Source organism: Homo sapiens, chromosome 2, assembly GCF_000001405.40.
Source record: "Homo sapiens chromosome 2, GRCh38.p14 Primary Assembly".
In the NCBI taxonomy this organism is placed as follows: domain Eukaryota; kingdom Metazoa; phylum Chordata; class Mammalia; order Primates; family Hominidae; genus Homo; species Homo sapiens.
The window spans coordinates 5,722,376-5,744,650 of record NC_000002.12 but is presented as its reverse complement, the minus strand read 5'-3'; the positions used below and the strand labels follow the sequence as shown (position 1 = coordinate 5,744,650).

General features: G+C 43.6%; 1 long non-coding RNA gene across 1 annotated transcript, besides 2 other annotated features; it reads right to left on the bottom strand.

Moving 5' to 3' along the window:
- Positions 3,254-3,754: an enhancer, noted in NCBI's record as "H3K4me1 hESC enhancer chr2:5881029-5881529 (GRCh37/hg19 assembly coordinates)". NCBI's record gives its function as "activates a minimal SCP1, AML or CMV promoter by ChIP-STARR-seq in naive H9 embryonic stem cells {active_cell/tissue: H9 hESC(naive)}" and the evidence as "EXISTENCE:reporter gene assay evidence [ECO:0000049][PMID:30033119]".
- Positions 14,297-18,182, bottom strand: LOC112268411 (uncharacterized). The gene is made up of 3 exons (XR_002959368.2): positions 18,072-18,182; positions 16,499-16,564; positions 14,297-15,923 (listed from the first exon to the last, which is right to left on the bottom strand). It is a non-coding gene; the product is annotated as an uncharacterized LOC112268411 (long non-coding RNA).
- Positions 17,888-18,843: an enhancer, noted in NCBI's record as "OCT4-NANOG-H3K27ac hESC enhancer chr2:5865940-5866895 (GRCh37/hg19 assembly coordinates)". NCBI's record gives its function as "activates a minimal SCP1, AML or CMV promoter by ChIP-STARR-seq in primed H9 embryonic stem cells {active_cell/tissue: H9 hESC(primed)}" and the evidence as "EXISTENCE:reporter gene assay evidence [ECO:0000049][PMID:30033119]".

Below are 22,275 nucleotides of genomic sequence, written 5' to 3'. Positions count from 1 at the left end.
CCGTCTCAAAAAAAAAAAAAAAAAAAAAAAAAAAACAAATTAGCCTGAAAATACCATAAAGTAAGCACCTAGGCTATGCTTTATTCCTTCCCTTAGCCATCATTTTAATCCGCCTCATATCACAGACTAGTTTCTGAGCTCATCAAGTCCTCCAGGCAGCTCTCTGGGTCCCAAACAACCCCCTCGCTGGCAACAAACAGCCCAGCCAATGTTCTTTAATGGCCTATGATGTGTTAGGGCCCAGCATTCTGCCAAGTCCCTACCAGCATTTCCTGTTTTAATCCTCACTCTAACCTTAGAGTAGGAAGAAATGTGATCTGAATATCACGGATGTGAAAATTTAGGCTGGGAAAGGTCTGTGGAAGTGCCTAGGATAGGAGGATAGCACATGCAGAAGTGGCTTCAGGCCGAGGTGCTCCTGCCCACAAAGCCCACAGCTCTGTAACCTGAGAATCCAGGCTGCTCCTCTACCTTGACATTATGCAATGCAATCTGCCTGGTCCCTCTCAGGCTTCCCTTCCCAGTGCCTCTGATGGCCACAGTCCTCCTTCGTGATGTGGTGTCTCAGGTGAATCTCCTTCAGTGGCTCTCCTCACCCTGGGGCCACCATGAGAGACCCCTGGGGAAACTTCTCCCTCCGTGGCTGAGGCTTCTCCTCTCTCCAGCTCAGATTTCCTCACAGGTTTCAGAGGAGCGCCTCTGCCTCTCACAAGCCCACACGGTCTCTTTTGCATCCTCTTCTTCAAGCATCTTTCTTTCTTTCTTTCTTTCTTTCTTTCTTTCTTTTTCTTTCTTTCTTTCTTTCTTTCTTTCTTTCTTTCTTTCTTTCTTTCTTTCTCTCTCTCTCTCTCTCTTTCTTTCTTTCTTTCCTTTTCTTTCTTTTTTTTCCCCAAAGCATCCATCATCTTGGGCTCTGGCAGCAGTGATAATCCTTTCTCAGGAAATCTCCCACAGTGTCCAGGACAGAGGCTGAGAGTGGAGGCCAGAGATTTATGAGAAGAGAAGACTAAGGAATAGAGGGCAATCCTAACCCAGGTCACAAACCAGGACACACCTGTCTCACCTGCCTGCATGCTCTACTACTAGGGTGGCAGGGCAGGGGCTGGACAGGCGCCTGGGCTGCGGGTGAGGCCTAGGCCTCTCCCTATCTTCACCAAGAGGTCCTGGCACCAGGAATCTGATTTGTAACAAGCAGGCCAGGTGATGCTGATGCAGGTAGGTGGCACATTGCACTTTCTGAAGTGCTCAGGCCTTGGCCACAAGAATCCTGCAAACAGCAAATCAGAATGCCCCAGTGCACTGGCAATACAGTCCTACAGCCTGCCACTTTTCAATTCCCTCCTCTTATAAATCTCTGGCCTCCACCCTCAGCTTCTCTCCTGGAGACTGTGGGAGATTTCCTGAGAAAGCCTGATCACTTCTGCCCGAGCCAAGATGAAGCTTTGTGAAAAAATATAACATGACAGTTGAAGAGGATTCAAAAGAGACCGAGAGACCCAGTATATTGAACAGGTACCCTGGGCACGTAGCTGCTTGGGAAGGTCTCATAAGGAAGAGATGGTATGGGATGAGAGAGGATTCCGGGAGGCTACCTTAGGAGGCTTACACTGGGAGTTAGGTCATGGAGGCCCAATTGTCTCATCTGCACCCTGCACTTAACAACACCCCCATTCCAAGTTGGTCATGAGCAGAGAGAAACCCCTTTGCATGAGACCTGGCACATATTATAGAAGGAACTCCATAAACTTCCATCAAATGAAGCAAAAATATCAAGAGCTTCATGAAGGGTACCATGACAAATACAACTTAAAATTATGTATTATTAGTTTTATTTTGAATAATGTGCTGTTACATTCAAGTGTATGTTTGTTTCTATTTGACAACTAAAATAGACAAGTCTGTTAAAGGAACAAAACAACACTTTCTGTTATACTGACAATGATAGGAGAATGATAGAGGTGAAACGCAATATTTTGCCAAAATCGCTCACATTTGAGAGGGCAGGAAAATTCACAAAAATTCACATAAAGAAGGGCTTCTTTGGGTGTGTGCACATACCAAGAGTCTAACCTCCAAAGGAGTTTTGCCCTGTCAGAGAGGAAGGAGAAAAATCCCTCATCTTGTTTTGGCTTGTGCAACCGGGCAGTGTTGGGATCTGGGAAAGAAAGCCTGTATTTATGCTCCGCCTTCAACTGATTTACTGTAAGTGACAAGCCAGACTGAAACGAGGAGCTCTGTCTAGCAAGGTTCCCCACCTTGCAGCTCCTGCTTGGCAAAGACTAGAGAGCATTACCTGGCAGATGGATTCCAAATGCAATCTGCAGAGTCCCTCTCAGGCTTCCCTGGAGCAAGAAGGGGAGGAACCCCGCTGATTTCATACTTCCTGGATGTGTGGCCGGCAGGCCTCCCATGTCAACAGAGGTGGTGTGAGAAGAAGCCAGATGAACCACAGATAAACTGCAATTGGGATCGTTTACTCCTGAGAAATTAAAAAAATGTATGCATGTTATAGCTATCTCAGTGATAATGTATACTTTCAAGTCACAGCTCAATTAATGAGAGTCTCTCTGAGTGAAAGGTTCTGTGTTTTAGGGGTTGGGAGACATAAAACTGGAAAGAGAAATATTTTTGTTTCTTTGTCTACTCTTAAGCCTGAAGTATACTTGGCCACATAATCATCTACTCCACCAAAAAATAGATTTGCAGCATTTTGCTTCTCCATGTCCTTACAGCTTCATCTGCCTTCCTTCGTGGTTCTCTAGAGAAATAAGTCTTTTAATCACTTATCCATGTATTTAAGCAGACATTTATTTTTTCCCTCATTTCTTCATTTACATAACACATATCCATGGAGCCAGGTTTGTGTGAGCTGCACAAAATACATTGATGAGCAAGGGAAGCATCGGGCCAGTGCCTCTCTGTCCTTATTTTGTTAAAGGAGATGGACAATTGAGTAAGTGATGTAATTCAACCTGAAAAGTGAAAAGACATAAAATCAAGTGCAGTGTTCTACAGAAAGCTCAAACAAGAGCATCAAGCCCAGTGGAATGCAGGCAGGGCGCGTGGCATGGATGGAAGCATTTTGGAGAAATGGACAAATAAGGTAAGACTCGAGGGACAAGTTTGCAGTAGATGCTAGCCAGTCTGTAGACAAAGAGAATGGCAAATACCTATCCTCAGCTTCTGAGCAACTAAAACAAGTTCACCATGTGGCAGCAAGCCTGGCCTACAGAGACAAAGCCAAGAAGCTGAATGGGAGCCACACAGCAAAGGCCTGAAGGCTCCCATAAATCTAATGAAGGAGTTTGGACTGAGGGTCGTGGGGAGTTTTTAAGGGTCTGAAGCTGGAGCACGGCTTGGTCAGGTTTGCATTTGGAAGGTCACTGTACAGCACAGGAAAGGTAGGCAGCAAAGCAAGAGGCGGTCTCAAGGGTCTGGAGAGAGGATCTGCCTGCAACCTGAACAAGAGGGTGGCACAGAGATGTCAAGAAATAAAGGAGAGCAGGAGTGGGAGCCGGGAGGAGAGCCTTCACACATGCCAGAGGCTCTGCTGCCTGCGGAAGCAGAGGATGGAAGGAGGCTGGGTTGGAGAGCTTCCAACAGCAGCATTTCTCAGCCAGTCTTGGCCAGGCTGCAGGGTGTCCTGGAGCAAAAAGAAGCCCATTAGAGGAATCCTACGGGGCATGGACATTGCTGGGAGCAACCAGGGAGGGAGCAACCAGGGAGGGGATGGTCTGAGCGTGAGCCCACAGCACACTGAGGCCTGGCAGCAGCTGAGGGCAGCTACTCGGCTCCCAGCAGTGGTCATCTCCTGCGGGGGGCAGTGAGATAGGAGTGGTGAGCTTGCTTCCATGGCTGTCTTCATGACACCTGGGTCTCATCCCTGCCTTGGGCACCGGGGGAGGAGTGGTGCCATTTATGGAGAAGGAGGATAATAAAGAAAAGGCACATTTTTCAGGGGACAGAGAAGTTGCTAATGAGCTCAAATTGGGCTGTGTTGAGTTTGGGGATGCCTTTGAGAGCAGAAGGTGAGCGGGCAAGTAGAACCATGCACAGGGAACCCAGGAAGAGAGGTCCGGGCTGGGAAGACATTGTGGGGAAGCGTGTTATGAGTAAAGTGGGATTGCGGAGGGAGAAGAAAAGCCAGAGGCAGAATGGGTAAGGAGATCTTCATTTAAAGACTGAGCAGAAAACAAAAAAGCAATAAAGTGACCTGAGAAGAAGGCCCTAGATAAGCAGGCCATAGTCAAAAGGAAGAGTGGAAACACCGGCCAAATGTTCACAGCAGCCAAGAACAATAAGGATTTTAAAGTACCCTTTGGATTTGGACACGCAGAGAAAGCTCCAACACTTTGGCAAGAGTGTCTCAGGGCGGGGATAGAAGTGAGACGTCAGGTGAGGAAGAAAGAGCAGAGTGTGTAAACATGTCTGAGAAGCTGACGAGAGAGAATGTGGTGACTAGAAGGGAATGTGTTTTGGGGACTTTGAGGTTTGAGTTTTTTTCTTTCATGTTTGCTGACACTTGAGATATGTGCTTAATGGCAGGAAGGAACCAGTATGCAGGGAAAGGCTGAAGATTATAGAAAAGGAAGATAAAAGTGAATCCAGAAAGGTGCCAGGAAGGGTGGAGCTTGGACCCAGATAGAAGAATTAGCCCCAGCCGGGAAGAGAGATGCTGTTTCCACTGCAAGAGCAAAAGAAGCCCAAAGGGAAAAAAAGTTTTCCATCTTTGGGAAAATAGGTGGATAGAAATTGCACCTTATGGTTTCCAAGTACTGTGACACACCCGAAATGATCTGTTGACAATGGGGAGATAGGTGGCCAGCTCTACAGGTGGGCAGAATTAGGGATGTTTTTGCAAGGTTACCATGGACACAGAAGTGAGAGCCATCCGGGGACTCCTGGGAGATGGCCAGCAGCTGTGAGGACCAGCCACCAGTCTGCACAGGAGATAGAGTCCTGCTCCCTGGATGTGGAGTTCTGCGAACATTTCCTTTGATAATAGTGATAATTTAAGAAAAGTCAAACTCTCCATAGTACCATAAAATCATGTGTTCAAACTTGCTATTTGATCCAATCTCCTACCCTTATTTCTAATGAATAGAAATACATTTACATGCTTGTGAAACTGTAGCATGAGGTTTTGAAACTGGCTAAACTACCTCTGAAGTCTTTTAAGGCAACATCAGGGAGATGTTGGACGCCCCTTAATAATACATATTGCAAAGTCCTGTCCCTGAATCACCTTAGCTGCTAAGACACCAACTGGGTAACTCTCTTTATGCACTGTACATTGCAAGTCTTAGGCATTCATTAGTTTTGCATTAATTAATGAACCTAACATGTATTTATCACATCTAGGCATTGAGGTGACAGGAGTGGGAGAGAAGTCGGGAGGCAAGAATACAAAGTCACAACTCAACACTTAACCTAAAGGAGAAGCACCTGCGCCACTGTTGAAGAGAATCAAGTGACAAGGTCACCAGTAGCAGCCACCACGCCTTGGTGCTGAGACCTAGAAAGGATTCTCTGGCACATGGAGGACTCTGAAAGTCAGTTTACAAATGCTGATTTGTACCAGCCCCCGTATCGTGCTCCAGCATGTGCTCCTTGGAGGGGAAAGTTACACTTGCTTAAGGAGCCATATTCCAAAATAAGGGTTGGACGCTTGCTACCAGCAGAAAGATTTTCAACTGCCAAGGCCTCTGAGCCCTGCTGTGAGGGCATGAGGCTTAGAGAGAACTTCCATGGGAGAAGATACTATAGACTAAGAGATATGCATTTAAAAGAATACAGCCAAAAACATTCTTCATATTTCATATTTACATTTGTGAACCACAGGGCTCGGCGCGGTGGCTTACACATGCAATCCCAGCACTTTGGGAGGCCAAGGCAAGTGGGTCACTTGAGACCAGGATTTCAAGACCAGCGTGGCCAACATAGCAAAACCCTGTCTCTACTAAAAATACAAAAATTAGCTGGGTGTGGTGGTGCACACCTGTAATCCCGTCACTCAGGAGGCTGAGGCATGAGAATCACTTGAATCCGGGAGGCAGAGGTTGCAGTGAGCCAAGATTGCACCACTGCACTCCAGCCTGGGCAACAGAGTGAGATTCTCTCATAAAAAAAGATTTTAAAAAATAATAAATTTGTGAGCCATTCCATGTGATTTATCATCGGCTCTGAACACTCATAATTGATCCTTTACTCTGATGTAATATGCTCTTAAAGACAGATTTTCTGAGTTTTTAAAAATTTAACACAAATTCTTAATATTTGTCCTTAAATATTGAATACTAGATTATGTTGGAATATTACTCAAGAACACCTCAGTGTCAAAAATGTTTTAAAATGTGATAATAGTGCATATTTGAAAGGTAGCTAGCAATAACATTCAGCACGCTCCATTCAAGGAGAGTGAAAGCTGCATGTTTTAAGGGAAAGGTGGAGCCTCGCCACTGACAAATGGCCGTTCCCTCTAATGTGATTGTAATATTTACCTTCCTCACCCCTACTCATTTTTTTTCATCCCCAAAGGCATCCAAGTGCGTAGTCAGTGTATCAGGTGAGGTTTAGACGTTAACTTTTTTTTTTTCAAAGTTAAAAGAAGTATTAGGAAGATCAGAGAAATGAACGGAAAGAAAATAAAAGCAAGACTATAGATTTATATGGTATGTCCCACAGAAAGTCAATTGCTACCCTTTGATAATTGCATGTGGCACTAAACAGGCCCTTCTATACTCACTTCCATTTCCTCCTCGGCCACGCCCTGTGAACTGGGGATATTACTCCCATTTGACAGATAAGAAGACCAGGCTCACTCGGCCAGACTAAGCAGCACCTTGCGGCAGAACGTACATTTGTTTGACAGCATCAACCACCATTCTTCTGCAACAGCGTGCTGTCTCCTTTATCTCAGCTTATTGACTTCTCCAAACATGCTCGTCAATTAAGAATAGCTCTCCTTTTTTCAGCGACGACCTGAATACATTCATTCTCAACCTTTAATATTCGGTTTAATCACAGCCTTCCCTGGAAGCCTTCTTGGGTTGCTCCTGCCCTCCCGGGCTAATCAAATCTCTCCCAGCTGCTTTGCATCCACCTCGGTTGCAGCTTTATCCACACTGTGGTGAAATTAATTAGTTTCTGTGTCTGTCTACTATTTCATGCTGCTTACAAGCCTTTTGTGGACATTTGCAGACTGAAAGATTGATGAAAACAATGAATGAATGAATATATTTATTTTGAAATAAAATGTACAGAATTCAGTAAGTATAAAAATTTGAGAAAAATTTCTTTACAAGTGAATTACTAGAGGCCACTGCAGAAACGGCTTGTCTAATTATGGTTGCAAAGCACAATGAGAAAGGACTCTTGAGGTGGCATTTATTTATAAATGGATCCTCAAGCAAATTCTAAAGTACAGTGGCCTCTGCAATAATAAGCCCCTGCTTACGATTATCCTGAGCAGTTCACTTTAGGGGCCTGGCTGGTTTTATAATGTAAAACTGAGAAAGCAATGAGCCGAGTTTTCATCCCTAAATCCAGCTGATAATTTTATCCAGATGTTGCTTTCCCCTCTTGCTAAAAGTCCAGATTCCATATTGTTTGATGAATGTTTGGTGAATGTTGCCTAATTGTGTAATGCAAATGCATGCTGTGAGTAAAAGTGGGTCATTAGCTTGAGTAAATCTTCAAACCCCCAAAGTATCTAAAGAAGGCAAAAAAAAAAATGGCATGCCCATATTTAAGACAAGATTTCAAAGACTGCATTTTCCTGTAAAAGTCAAAATTGGCCATCAGGATAACAAAATACCCCATCTGCCAAATTTGTATTAAATTGATGAGGTCATTTCTAAGGAAGTACCAGGTAAATTTTTAGCTAATCTTAGTTTGATAACAGTGATCCAATATTGAGCCTTTAGAAGTCTGAGTAATGGGCCCTGGATTCTTCTGTGCGAGGCTAATGGGCACTTATACGCTAATGTTTCTGTAGCACTTACTGTACACTGTGCATGAGCGGTGGGACCATAAAACCCTGCTGCTGTTTTCCTGCTCCTGGAAATAAATGTTCCTTTTAGGGAAAACTCTTATATTTTTAATGTCTAGCACCACACAGTTATACCTTATTAGTGCGTAATAATGGCTAGTCATTCTAACATGAATATTTCTTCAACAAAAATTGTTATAGGAGCTAGGAGTTTCTCTCTTTTTAAAAAAAAAAAATCACAATATTGTTTCTCCGTTTCTACAAAAAGTGAACAGATGCCTGGCTTGTTTTTGCAAAGTTGCCACTTTCTCATGCACAAAAGGAAAAAAAAAAAAGAAAAGCAAATTTACATTTCCTAGAAGTTCACCACAGAGACAAGGCGATCATGTAGAGTAAGAAAGATAGCTTTTTAAGTAGCCTTGTTAAACACACACACACACACACACACACACACACAGGCACACGTGACCATGCCAGAAATTCAAAGGATCCATGCTAAGCAGTCTACATTTTGCCCTAAAATCTTTGAAGAAAATGAGCACTCTAGTTGTCGCAGGGAAGCCCTCGGAGAACCCTGATTTAGTGTAGTTCCTCTCTCCAGAGAGTCTCCTACCTCCTGAGTCATAGGCCTGGATTTTCATGAAGAAAGTGGAGGGCCCACTGTGACTATCGCCACACCCAGGAAGGGAGCACATTGACTTGATAATAATATTTCAGCTGTTCCAATTTCCGAGGACAACCGCCTGTCTTTTCCCAGCATCAATATCTAAAATATTCACCCCAGTTACAAAATACTCTAAGACTTGCACACGGAAAAGCAAAAAACAAACAAACAAACAAAAAAAAAACAAACAAACGGTTTAAAAAAAAACTAACACTAAACAGAAAGGAGGAGAAGAATCCACTGCCGTAAGACAAACACCTCTAGGTTTTCAGTCCAACGGGCTCCCGGGCACTTCCTTTCCCAGTCGCTTGGTGGGAGCACTGAGGAACTTGGTGAATGCTCCTTTTAGGTACTGAGTGCTCAGTTTCCTCATCTGCCCTCTCTTGTTCACCTACAAACTGGTGTTGGCAGTTTTGGGGGTGTATTTACAACTGGGCCAAGTGACTGCAATGAAAGGAACATCTAGATAAGGGCTACTGCCGCGTCTGATACATGTCACTGCATCGACATGCATCCAGTTGTTCTTCCTGAGGAAAAGCCACGCCAGCAGCACAGTGATGGAGCCACCCAGGACTGCTAGGGGTGCAGGCCGTCATGACAAAGGACACTTCCAGGGCAGATGCCACAGATTCCCAGTCACACCTGGGCTGGATCACCTCCAGCCAGACCCTGGCTAACAGGGAACAGTGAGTCCCAGAGCCTGGGACCTGCACACCAGGCCACACTGGACTTTGTAAGGGTCAAGTGGCAGCAGGGTCCTTCTCCCACCCGACACTCCCATGGCTGGCAGAAAGAACAGACACAGCTGCGTCCCCAAGCCCGTGGCAGGGCACTGTGAGGGCCCAGGGGCAGGCCAGGTGCCTCGAGCTGGGAGTGGGAGTGGGGAGGTCCAGATAAAATCACTTGGATTATTACACAAGCAGCATTGATGTGGAACGGCTTGTTTCCTGGGCTTACAGCACTCACACCTGCCCCACACCTGCCCGCCACATTCTTGGACATTACAAGTCCCCACACCTGCCCTCCACATTCGTGGCTGCTCTAAGAGCTTGCAGAGGGTTCTCCATCCTTGCCGGATGAAATATCCAGCTTTCCCCTTCACTTTCTCTAGTCCCTGCTTACAAACCGACGCAGGCCCCCCATTGCCTCCCAGACCCATTCGACTCAGAATGTGCTGTCACTTCTGGCCATCCTTCCGGACCTAGCTGCTGCTCTCCTCTGTCTGAGCTCTGCTGAGCCAGTGACATTCACAAAGCCTGTCTGGCCCCTCATGCACCTGCACTTCCCATGCTTGGGGTCAAGGAAGCCCCTCTGTAAGTGGAGAAGGCTCTGTAAGTGGAGAAGTCAAGGAAGCCCCTCTCATCCTTCTGGACGTCTTCCCTGGACAGAATCCAAGCCTCCCTGTATCAGTTTGCTAGGATTCCACATCACAGTAGCATAGACCTAGGGGCTTAAACAACAGAAAAGTGTTGTCTAGCAATTCTGGAGGCTGGAAGTCTGAGATCGAGGGGTCAGCAGTGTTGATTCCTTCTGAGGCTGTGAGAGGGACTCTGTTCCCAGCCTCTCTTCCACCTTCTGGTGGTTTGCCGGCAACCTTTGGTGGTCTTTGGTGTGTGCAAGGACCATTCCGGTCTCTGCCGTCACCTTCACATGGCGTCCTCCCTGTGCGTGTGTCTGTGTCCAGATTTCCTCTTTCCATAAAGACACCAGTCATATTGGTTTAGGGGATAAAACTTAATGACCTCATGTTAACTTGATCACTTCAAAGCCCCTGTTTTCAGATAAGGCCACATTCACTGAGAGTAAGAACTTATCTTTTAAGGGGGACGTACTGAAGCCCATAAATTCTACCTTTTATTCTTTTTTTATTATATTTTAAGTTCTGGGATATGTGTGCAGAACATGCAGGTTTGTTACATGGGTATACATGTGCCACGGTGGTTTGTTGCACCCATCAACCCGTCATCTACATTAGGTATTTCTAATGCTATCCCTCCCCTAGCCCCCCCACCCCGCAACAGGCCCCCGTGTGTGATGTTTCCCTCCCTGTGTCCATGTGTTCTCATTGTTCAACTCCCACTTATGAGTGAGATCATGCAGTGTTTGGTTTTCTGCTCCTGTGTTCGTTTGCTGAGAATGATAGTTTCTAGTTTCATCCGTGCCCCTGCAAAGGACATGAACTCATCCTTTTTTTATGGCTGCATAGTATTCCATGGTATATATGTGCCACATTTTCTTTATCCAGTCTATCATTGATGGGCATTTGGGTTGGTTTCAAGTCCTTACTATTGTGAATAGTGGTACAATAAACATACGTGTGCATGTATCTTCATAGTAGAATGACTTATAATCCTTTGGCTATATACCCAGTAATGGGATTGCTGGGTCAAATGGTATTTCTGGTTCTAGATCCTTGAGGAATTGTCACATTGTCTTCCACAATGGTTGAACTAATTTACACTCCCACCAACAGTGTAAAAGCATTCCTATTTCTCCACATCCTCTCCAGCAACTGTCGTTTCCTGACTTTTTAATGATTGCCATTTTAACAAGGTTGGAGGTTAGAGATGGTGTCTCATTGTGGTTTTGATTTGCATTTCTCTAATGACCAGTGATGATGAGCTTTTTTTCACGTTTGTTGGCCACATAAATGTCTTCTTTTGAGAAGTGTCTGTTCATATCCTTTGTCCACTTTTTGATGGGGTTGTTTGTTTTTTTCTTGTAAATTTGTTTAAGTTCCTTGTAGATTCTGGATATTAGCCCTTTGTCAGAGGGAAAGATGGCAAAAATTTTCTACCATTCTGTAGGTTGCCTGTTCACCCTGATGATAGTTTCTTTTGCTCTGCAGAAGCTCTTTAGTTTACTTGGATCTCATTGGTCAATTTTGGCTTTTGTTGCCATTGCTTTTGGTGTTTTAGTCATGAAGTCTTTGCCCATGCCTATGTCCTGAATGGTATTGCCTAGGTTTTCTTCTAGGGTTTTTATGGTTTTAGGTCTTATGCTTAAGTCTTTAATCCATCCTGAGTTAATTTTTGTATAAGGTGTAAGGAAGGGGTCCAGTTTCCGTTTTCTGCATATGGCTAGCCAGTTCTCCCAACACCATTTATTAAATAGGGAATCCTTTCTGCATTGCTTGTTTTTGTCAGGTTTGTCCAAGATGAGATGGTTGTAGATGTGTGGCATTATTTCCGATGCCTCTGTTCTGTTCCATTGGTCTATATATCTGTTTTGGTACAAGTAACATGCTGTTTGGGTTATTGTAGCCTAGTAGCATAATTTGAAGTCAGTCTACCTTTTATTCTTTCAGGTGCTATACTCATCCTACCTGGGCATCCCCACGTCCTCCCTCCTCGTGACTCAGATCATCATGTTTAATTCTGCTACGCCCAGGCTCACAGAACATGGAGTTGTTTCATTTTGTGATTCCTGCCCCACTTCTCCGTGCACCCTCCAAGGGCTGGAACAGCCAGGACATGTGTGCCCTACACAGGGGCTACAGGTAGGTATGCAAAAGAAAAAATAATTGTTAAATCCACCTATTGTTTTGAGTTCTTCTGATCTTCAACTCAATGTTATCTCCCTTCTAAGATTGTAAACACCTTCAGGGAGGGATCCTCATCCTCAGCTTTTCTCCCATGTCCCACAGTACTGAGCTAGACATGGACACTGGAGGAAGCCAGAAAAACAGGATTTTTCCCATAAACAGACCCAAGGGGATGCTGGATCTACCTTTATGCTCATTCTGCAAAAGTTTCTCAAGGAAACAGGGTGCATTATTTCAGGACCATGACTGCATCTTTCATAGAAACGAGGGAGAGAAGCCCCAGTGACTAGCCTGATTTCTCCTAAAGTTCACTGGCCTCTGAGAATAGAATTTTCCTTTCTGGGACTTCTCAGAAAGCACCCTGCATCCAAAAGCACAGAGTAGGTATTTTTCTAACTATATTTGTCTTGCTAATCCCTTGACCCTTCAAGTGAATCTTCAGTAAACAATTTTTAGCATTTAAACAAAAGTAGCCAGTGTCACTAAGTAATTTTAGGCCAACTCTCCAAGACAGAGCATGTGACTCTGGGAGAAAAAGGCGTTTCCTGGCTTTAATGAGTAAGTTGTCTGTTTTCAACAAACTTTCATCTCAAGTTTCAAGGTGTGCTTGAGATTGAAATGACAAACATCCTGTACTTTGTCCTATGGCTACACCTTCTAATGGAGACAGGCACAACACAACACAAGCAGATGCTTTCTTTATCTGGCCCAGGGAAATGTCACAAACGGGCACTTCCTGCTGTTGCCGTGCACGTGGAATTGTTTAGAAAGCATCATTCCTGGCTCGGAGCAGTGGCTCACGCTTATAATCCTAGCACTTTGGGAGGCTGAGGTGAGCGATCACCTGAGGTCGGGAGTTCAAGACCAGCCTGACCAACATGGAGAAATATCATCTCTACTTAAAAAAAAAAAAAAAAATTAGCCAGGCGAGGTGGTGCATGCCTGTGATCCCAGCTACTTGGGAGGCTGAGGCAGAGGAATAGCTTGAACCCCGGAGGCGGAGGTTGCGGTGAGCCAAGATTGCACAATTGCACTCCAGCCTGGGCAACAAGAGCGAAACTCCATCTAAAAAAAGAAAAAAGAAAGAAAGAAAGTAAAAAATTATTACTCCTGGTCCCAGTCCCTGGTCACCACAGCTGTGGCTTTCACATCCAGTGTACATCCTTCCTCAGACTTACACCTCCTAGGGGAGGAGGAAACAGGGAACCAGGAAATGGAAACATGGTTCCATGATTGTTATTTTTAAGTAAAAATGATATTGCGATATAATTCAGACCATAACATTCACCCTTTTAAAGCATACAAGTCAGTGGTTCTCAGTATATTTCAGTAAATATAGGGCACAGGAACAGTTTTAGAATGCTTTAGAATATGTTAATACCCCAAAAGAAGCCCTGAACCCATTAGCAGTCCCTCCCTATCTCTGTCCCTGGCAACTGCTAATCTACTTTCTGTTTCTGTGGATAAAGAGGAAGATTAGCTTGAGAGATCAGCTTGTATATTTAATGCTATGCTCAGTAAACAAGGACAAAATACAAAAACCTGGCACTAATTCAGTTTAATTTTCTAAGAAACTCATTCTGTGTTATTTTAAAAAATGTGATTTCATTACGACTGATGAATTTAAAGTCCTGGTACTGATGGACAAGCCACTGGGCAGAGGTGAAAGAAAGCTTTGAAACCTTCTCCTTAGCCATTGGGGTGTGATCTGGCCCCACGCAGCTGGGAGCTGTTACCACCCATTGCATCTGTAACTGACTAGAGGATGGTTCTTAGGAAAGATCATCAGTGGAGCATAGTGAAATCAACAGCAGATTCTGTTTGTTAGATGGTGTTGGGTTCACAAGGCTCTGCTCTTCCATCAACCTTCGTAAGGGAGCTGCATCCTGACTGATTAATCTTTCCAGTGATAACAGAGTTTGGGCAGGCCAACCCCTTAAGAGGTGAGCTAGAGGGCAGGACCTGAATTTCCAGTTTCTTTGAGCATTCACTGGCCTGCATTGTGCTGACTTAGGTAAGTAACACATAAATATTTTCTGATGATGGCCCTGGCATGTAAAAATCACAGTTCAAAATGACTTGGGGATACTGCAGCCACTCACATATCCATTGTTTTATTCAATACATATTGATGATTGTCATGAAATTACACTGGCAACAGATGCTCAGGAGACAAACATACCAAGTAGACATGGATCCCATCCACAATTACTTCACAGTTACTTCTGAATATCTGTAGAGTGGGGGAGAGAGAAGGCACTCTTAACCAACGCAATATTAGACGTCAAAAGTGAGACAGGCCAGAAACTCAGTCCTGGGAGGAACAATAGAATAAAAGTAAAAAGAAATTATTTCCACCAACCTGAGCAGCTATATGAATATCTGCCCTTTACCAGACACATGTGTGAGCACGCATAACACTCACATACACACACTCTCATATGCACTCACAAACTCATTCAGACACAATCAAGAATTGCCTAGTTATTACTGAGCACTGGCTACTCATCAAATCTCTACTAATAATTTTATGTTTATATTTTCCTAATGTCTGCCATTACCTTAAAAGGTAGGAATATCATTATCCCTTTTTTTCTCAAGGAAACTGACAAACTCCAATCATTGTCTAGCTAGCAAAAGGACGGTATGAACCCAGATTTGTCTGATTTTAAATCCATGTTCTCATCCTATAAGTGAAGTGGGCTTTCTGACTCATGGAAGAAGAATCAGCAGGGCGAGCTCTCAGAACAAGCAGTGTTCTGCTGTGTGAAGATGAGAAGGGCATCTATCCAGGTGGAAGGAAGAGAGAGTAAAGCCCTGGGGGATGAGAGGATGGGGAAGGGGAGTGAACCTGTTAAGCCCTATGCTGCAGAACTGGAATTTCAGCTCAAATCTGCAGACACAAAAGCCACTGTGCTTAACTCCCTCAATGCCTCCCATAAGTAGCAGAAACTATATACACTTCACATTTATTGCAAGGGTTTATAGCATTCGGGGCACATGAAAGGCTTCCAAAGCCAAGCAAAACCCTAGCAGGGGCACAAACAGAACATCCCTGTGGTAACCATGAGCTTATCTTCTTGTTTAATGAACACAATCCAGGCCTTGCCCTGTCCAGCCCACACTCCAGGCCCAGGAACCATAGGGAGGAAGTACAGAAGAACCGTGGGCTCCATCGGAGAGCCAGGTATGAGGCTTCTGAGGAGGCCTCCAGGACGGGCAGTCACTCATCCTGCCGAGAACAAGCTGAAGGAAAGTGTAATGAGTCTTCAAGAAAAGAAAGCTCATGTGCTCAGAAGATTACGGTTGGATCAACTAATTTCTGAAGACTTAGTAGATCGCAGCACTTTAAAACAACTCAACCTCCAGAGGCAGCAGTGAATGACTTTCAACCCGTGTCCTTAGGCCTGGATGATTAAGAGCAGGAACGCTGGACCCAGAAGACCTGGGTTTAAATCCCATCTGCAGAAAGTGGAGAATACGACTAGAGCTGTGAGGATCAGGAACATGGATCCATGGGAGATGAGGAGAGCAGGGCGGGCACACATGGAGCCTGGCCACTATCTGTTTTTCTCTTCCTGGGACCGTGGCTCAGTTCTTCTCTTCCCGGGACTTCCCAGACCACCGAGCTTAGAACCTGAAGCCTGTGCTCCCCATGGGCTGGCTCAGACAATGGGGGTTCTCAGAATAGGATGTGACTCTCCAAAGGGCATGTGAAAGCTTATCTGTAAATATCCAAAGACATGGTAAGTTTTCAATAGTTGATAAGTATTAATCTATAACATGGCCCAGGGATAGGCTAATAGATTCTGCAGACACCTTGCAAATCACTGATTCTCTTAAATGCCATTTCAAATGAGCTGAAAGCAAATTATACTGCTGGTTATAATCTAATATTGGGAGGAAAGAGTGCTTAGATGCACCAATTACACTATTTTCCCTAAAAAAAATCAATCATCTCACTATTCTTTGTCCATCCATCATCCATTCATTGATTTAATAAATAATGCTGAGGACAATATTCACATCTGCTACGCAGCATAGATTATAAAAAGGATAAATATGATGGTGTTTTGAGGCCACATGCAATTTTATAAGGGACATTTTATACAATTATTAATGTAAAGAGACTTAAAAATAAGTCACTTGCAAAAGAATAAAATTACAATGTATAGTTTATTTTTTCCTAAGATGGTGAACTTGAATCTAGTCAAGCTTTTAGTTAAGTCAATTTCAGTTTATAGGTGTTACAGTCTGTAGGATATACGGGGGACAAAGGAACAAGGTAAGCAACACTGACCTGGAACATTCTACAGGACTGCTGACCTGCTCTCTTCCACAAATCAGTGGCCTGAGAAGAACCATTCTAGATGAAAAGAGATGAAGGGACATGACCATGTTCGATTCATGATTCTGAAGGGGATGCCGTTTTCACAGACTGTGCAGAATATTACAGTGACAAATGGGGCCCTGAGGGATGCTGCTATGAAAGTTTAGATTTACTTCCCTTTTAAACTATGTGCATACACTTAAATAAAATAAAAAGTAAATTTTAAATTGTGAGTGAAGCAGTGTCTGTAGTATATGCTAAGAATTCAGAGGAGAGAGAGTTAATGGAAGATAAAACTATCAGGCAAGACAAAATAGAGCACAAAAAGCATACATTGGGCCTGCAGAAAGGAGAATTGGTTGTACACGAGGAAGACCTTTCAGTGTGTTGTGGGTCTTTCCTGGGTGAGAGGTTTAATTTAACTTGAATGCAGCTCAATCAATACTTACCGAACCACGTATTTTATGCACCATATTGTGTGTATGTGAAATATTCAGTACAGTGCCTGCCCAATGAGAACATCTAAATGTTGATAGACACTCATTATCAAATTTGCAATTTCCCTTTAATAAAAACATTTATACAAGAGAAACTTACCACCTCCTCTTCCAAGAAATGAAGCCAAATGGTTACTAGCCTAATGATTCCTAGCACATATTCTGGTTCCAGAATGCCTGGTTTTGAATCTCTCCTCTTTACCCACTGGCTTAGTAATCTTGGATGAGCTACTTACAGTTTCTGTGCCTCAGTTTATTCATGCCATGGTAACAGCAGTGCTTACCTCATAGGGTTGTAGTGAGTATGACATGACTTACTCTATGAAAAGTACTTAGAACACTGCCTGGCACATGGAAAGTTCTAAGGCAACTGTAAATGCCATGAATTTAAAATAATAAAAAGGGTAGAGGTTGGGAGGAAGGAGAGGATCAGGAAAAATAACAAAAGGGTACTAGGCTTAATACCTGGATAATAAAATAATCTGTACAAGCCCCCATGACACAAGCTTACCTATATAACAAACGTGCACATGAACCCCTGAACTCAAAATAAATGTCAAATTAAAAATAAAATAAAATAATGAAAAATAACCAGTACTATCTAACATCAAATTCACTTTAATACTTTAAGGGGGATAAACAATGTATTTACAATGCTTAACTCTGGATTGAAGAATTACATGTGATTTTCATTTTTTCTGTATGCTTGTTGATGTTTTCTCAATGTACTGCAATTAATAAGCAACACTTCTACAAGGAGAACAGAGTAATGCAAATTTTATTAGACCTTTAGCTATAAGGAATATGTTATTTGTGAATATATTTAAAGATTTAGAGCAATTAGCATATATTTTTCTATATGAATCACAAAACATGCTGCCATTATTCCCATTATAACAGTGAAAATAACGAGTGAGGGGCCGGAAGGGTTAAATTTATTTTCTAAGGCCTCAGAAACGGTATTGGAGTTGGTCTTTGGAGTGGCCAAAGTTTTTTCCCTTTGCTTCTAATTTGCAATGAAAGATATAGAAAATCAATGTACAGACCTTCTCAGTGATATTTCACAGCCCCTTTAGATATTTGTAGTATGCTAATATGTCCATGAGCGCTCAGAATTTTCAAGTCTGTGTCAACAGGAGCCGTCAGTGTTTGGGAAGGAGGCAGCCCCAGCTCCTGCCCACGCCCTCTGCTTTCTTATGCATGCTTCCCCTCTAATTCTGAAAACCATGACAAAGCCAGGAGGGCTTAGGCGGTGCAGGGGTCCTCTGGGCCAATTCAAATGCCTGCGACCCAGTTTTCAGTTGTAGGATGCCTGCAAAATGTGGAGAAAATGCCCATGGCTGGGTGGCAACGGCTTTAAGCTGAGCTCCGCCAGATCCTACATGTAAGATCTGCAGTCACTCTTTTCCGTCTCCTTCATGAGGTCCTTCCCACCTCGAAAGCCATGCTATTGTCTAAGCTTGGTTCTCTCCGAGGAGAAAAGTAAGAGAAGGACTTGGCTAATGATTGGTAGCTGATCCATTAGGGACTGTGACACACACCTTCCCTTCCTGTGAAACCGGAGCCAGGGTCTCCATGGATGCCACAGGGCCCGCAGAGCTCTGCAGGAAGGAGGGCGGGGTGTCCGGGTCCCCCCGACACCCGCCCAACACGGACGCTGGCACGTCGCTCTGCTGCCCCCAGTTTCCCTTGCAGTTTCGCTAACTTGATACTCCCTTTCGCCTCCTAAATTGTTGTTTTACATTTCTACATTCCCTAGCTGACGTGATTGTTCCCTGCGACTCAAGTGGGAATTCTCTGAATGCTGATGGAGGAAAAACGAAAGGACTGAGGACTCCTGGGGGAAAGAGACTTAAGTCCATACCACATAAAAGACATTGTTTAAAAGGGGGTGAAGGTAAAAATATAACCAAGAATTTGGTTTTTTCCTTAAATCACTGGAATACTCTATTACTCATTACTAGATGGACAATTTACATTGACCACTTTACTCTTTTAGTATGGAAAATATTTGTACTCTCTCTAGCACTGTAGGATCATGCAAAAATGGAGGCCAGGAATAAGATTCTTTACATATATATTAATACCTTTTCCTTTAGTAGTACTCCTTTTAAAAATTGTTCACACCTAGCAGAGCACAGCGGCTCACGCCTGCAATTCCAGGATTTTGGGAGGCTGAGTCAGGAGGATCACTTGAGCCCAGGAGTTTGAGACCAGCCTGGGCAATGTAGAAAAACCCCATCTCTACAAAAAGATTAAAAGTTAGCCAGGAGTGGTGGTGAGTCCCTGTAGTTCCAGCTATGAGGGAGGCTGACGTGGGAGGACTGCTTGAGCCAGGAGGGTCAGCTGCAGTGTAGAGGCACCACTACACTCCAGCCTGGGCAACAGAGTGAGACCCTGTCTCAAAAACACCCATCATGCACACCTATATTATCTTGTTCAGGTGCCACAGCATGTCCTGAGATTAGAGTAGTGAGAAGCCCAACAATGGGAAATCCTTACTCTGTGTCAGACATCAGGCTCAGAATTTTGTATTTTTTATCTTCTTTAATCCTCACAAGAACCTGCTGGGAGACAGTCTGTTATTCACTTTTCACAGATGAGGAAACTGAGGCAGAGGGAGGCTTAGTAACTTGCCCAAGGGCCAAGTAGTGTCAGCAGGATTCAAACCTGGACTTCTCTTTCTAGGCCTAGAGCCTTAAATCTTAATCACTCCACCACAAATAACTGCACATAAGGAGGTTGAGGCCCAGAATAGCTTAAATGATTAGCTAGGGACCACAGAGCAGGACCCAGGCCTTCCAAACTGCAAAGTAATGTGTTTCACACACAGGCACACACACTTGCACATACACACCTGCACACACACACACACACACAATCCATCCCTCCTCTGACTTACCGGATACACTACACCACTTTATAAAATAGTTGATGCAGTTTGTTATTAACATTTTGGGCTGGAATCTCCACGGCTGCACACAGTGTAGTTGGGCGGACTGGAGAAGCTTAACACAGAAGGTGCCATGCACCAACTTCATGCAGCAAACATTTGCTGAGCGCCAATCATCTGATAGGCCTAACGTGAGGTGCTAGGAACACTGAGATTAATGAGACAGGGCCACAGCCTCCAAAAAAGTAGTTTAAACAGAAGGGACATGAACCCTGTAATCAATGTAAGCAGTTGTACAAACACATAAACACAAGTGATGAATGCAGTTGCAGAGGACCTAAGTCCAAGGGTTAAGACTGCCAGAGGGTAGCCAGGTTGCCCATAGATGGTCAGCAGCAAGCCTGCCTGCTGTTCTCTTGATTTAGGGTCGAGCTGCCTCTGAAGGAATCCCCTTGTGCTTAGGTGGCTTGCAGGAAACCCTCTGTGGAGCACTGAGTACCAAGAGCCATTAGGCATGGGCCACCCCTCTTGCCCGGATACCCGTACGCTCCATGCAGAACAGCCAGGAGCTCCGATTAACCCCTGGGCAGCGCAACTCTTGATGCACCCAGGCCTGGCAGCTTAAAAATCAGCACTCAGACCAGCCAGACAGCACACTTCCCCATCACAAACAGCTCCTAAATCTGATTCTAAGACGTTATTCTCAGCGTCGACCTAATTGGATGATCTCATTCATAGATTTATACTTAAGGATATCTTCTAAATGGCTCATGAACAGCTGTGTTGGCCAAATCGGAATGGAGAGAGCTTGGGCTGAAGAGACCTGGGCACAACGTCATTTACTTACTGAGTGTCCTCAAGCTACTCATTTAGCTCTTCTGTTCCTTGGTTCTCTTACCTGGAATATCAGAATATTCCCATTATCGTGGCAAAAGTGCATGGTGGGGTGACATGAGATAATGTACATAAAGAATCTTATAATATGACTAGCCTCTAATGCTATTCAAGGTAAGTTCTAATAAAATATGCCAGATATATTATTGTAAATATATATGTCTAATACATCTCATACATAGTTATATATCGTCTCTCTAATAAACAGACATCTAATAAAAATAACAATATATATAAGTGTAGTATTCATTAGACTTAAAAAATATGTATTTTAAAGTGAAAGTTGCCCTGAATTTTGTCTAACAAGGTCACCTTTAATATAACTATATTTTTTGTTAAGTTCTCCAAATGCTAGGTAAATCCTGTGAGAAGAGACCATGTGGGGAGAGTGGAATCAAAGAAGTGATATTTTATGAAAGTCATTCTATTCAACATACTCATAAATATAAAACACCTTGCCTATTTGGCTTCAAATATGGCATGTGGACCAGGGATTTGAAACATTTATCATAGAAATTTTCAAACATACACAAAAATAGAGCCAGTGAAGCCATGTTTCCACCATCCAGCTTCAATAATCAATAATTCCCAGCTATTCTAGTCTCAGTAATAGCTCAGCACCTGGATCATTGTGAAGCAAACCCCAGATGTCACATCATGTCAGTGATTTTTAAATTGTCCTGTTTATATATTTACACCAATACAGAACTTGTCAGCCAATGGTTTTTAATGATTAATTTCTGTTACATTTCCTTTGTAAAGTACAGATTGGATACCACCAAATTTCCTATCATACCACAGAGATGGATCACTGCTTTTCAGTGAATATCTGTTCTGTGCCAGTGCTAGCCTACACCAAATATTTTCAAGGAAAATAAGTCTCAGGTGAAATATTTTGCCCAATCTTTAGTAGCTAGTAAATGGCTGACTAGAGATTGGATCTTAGGCCTATAGGAATCCCAAGATTTTGCAGTTGTCACATAGGAAAATCTTCTACTGAGATTACACATTTCCTGGGACGTGTCTACATGTTTGTCTGGATAATATTTTCAAGGATTAATCCATGCAGTGGTATAATGTCTTTTGACCTTGCCAACCTTTCCATTCAAATTATAAATTGACTTTTACTGTCTTAAGAGTAGAGTTGTTATTAAAGAAATGTAAACATAGAAACATAAGCAGTCAATTTTTGGCTTTTCTAGGCTAATAATGTCTAGATTTGCAGAAATACTTGCACAGTGAGTGTGCAACCACCTCCAGGAGACCAAGCCACTCACTCCCGATCCCCATCCCCATCCCCCCAAGTCCCAACCCTCTGCCCCACAGCCTAGCCCCATCAACCAGGCTGAAGCTAGCAAGGGGCCAACGTTCTCTCATGACCACCAGCCAGCTATGAGCACTGTGAAGGAGAAGTGATGCTTGGTGGCGGGGTTGATCTCATCTCCAGCATTCTGAAAGCATCC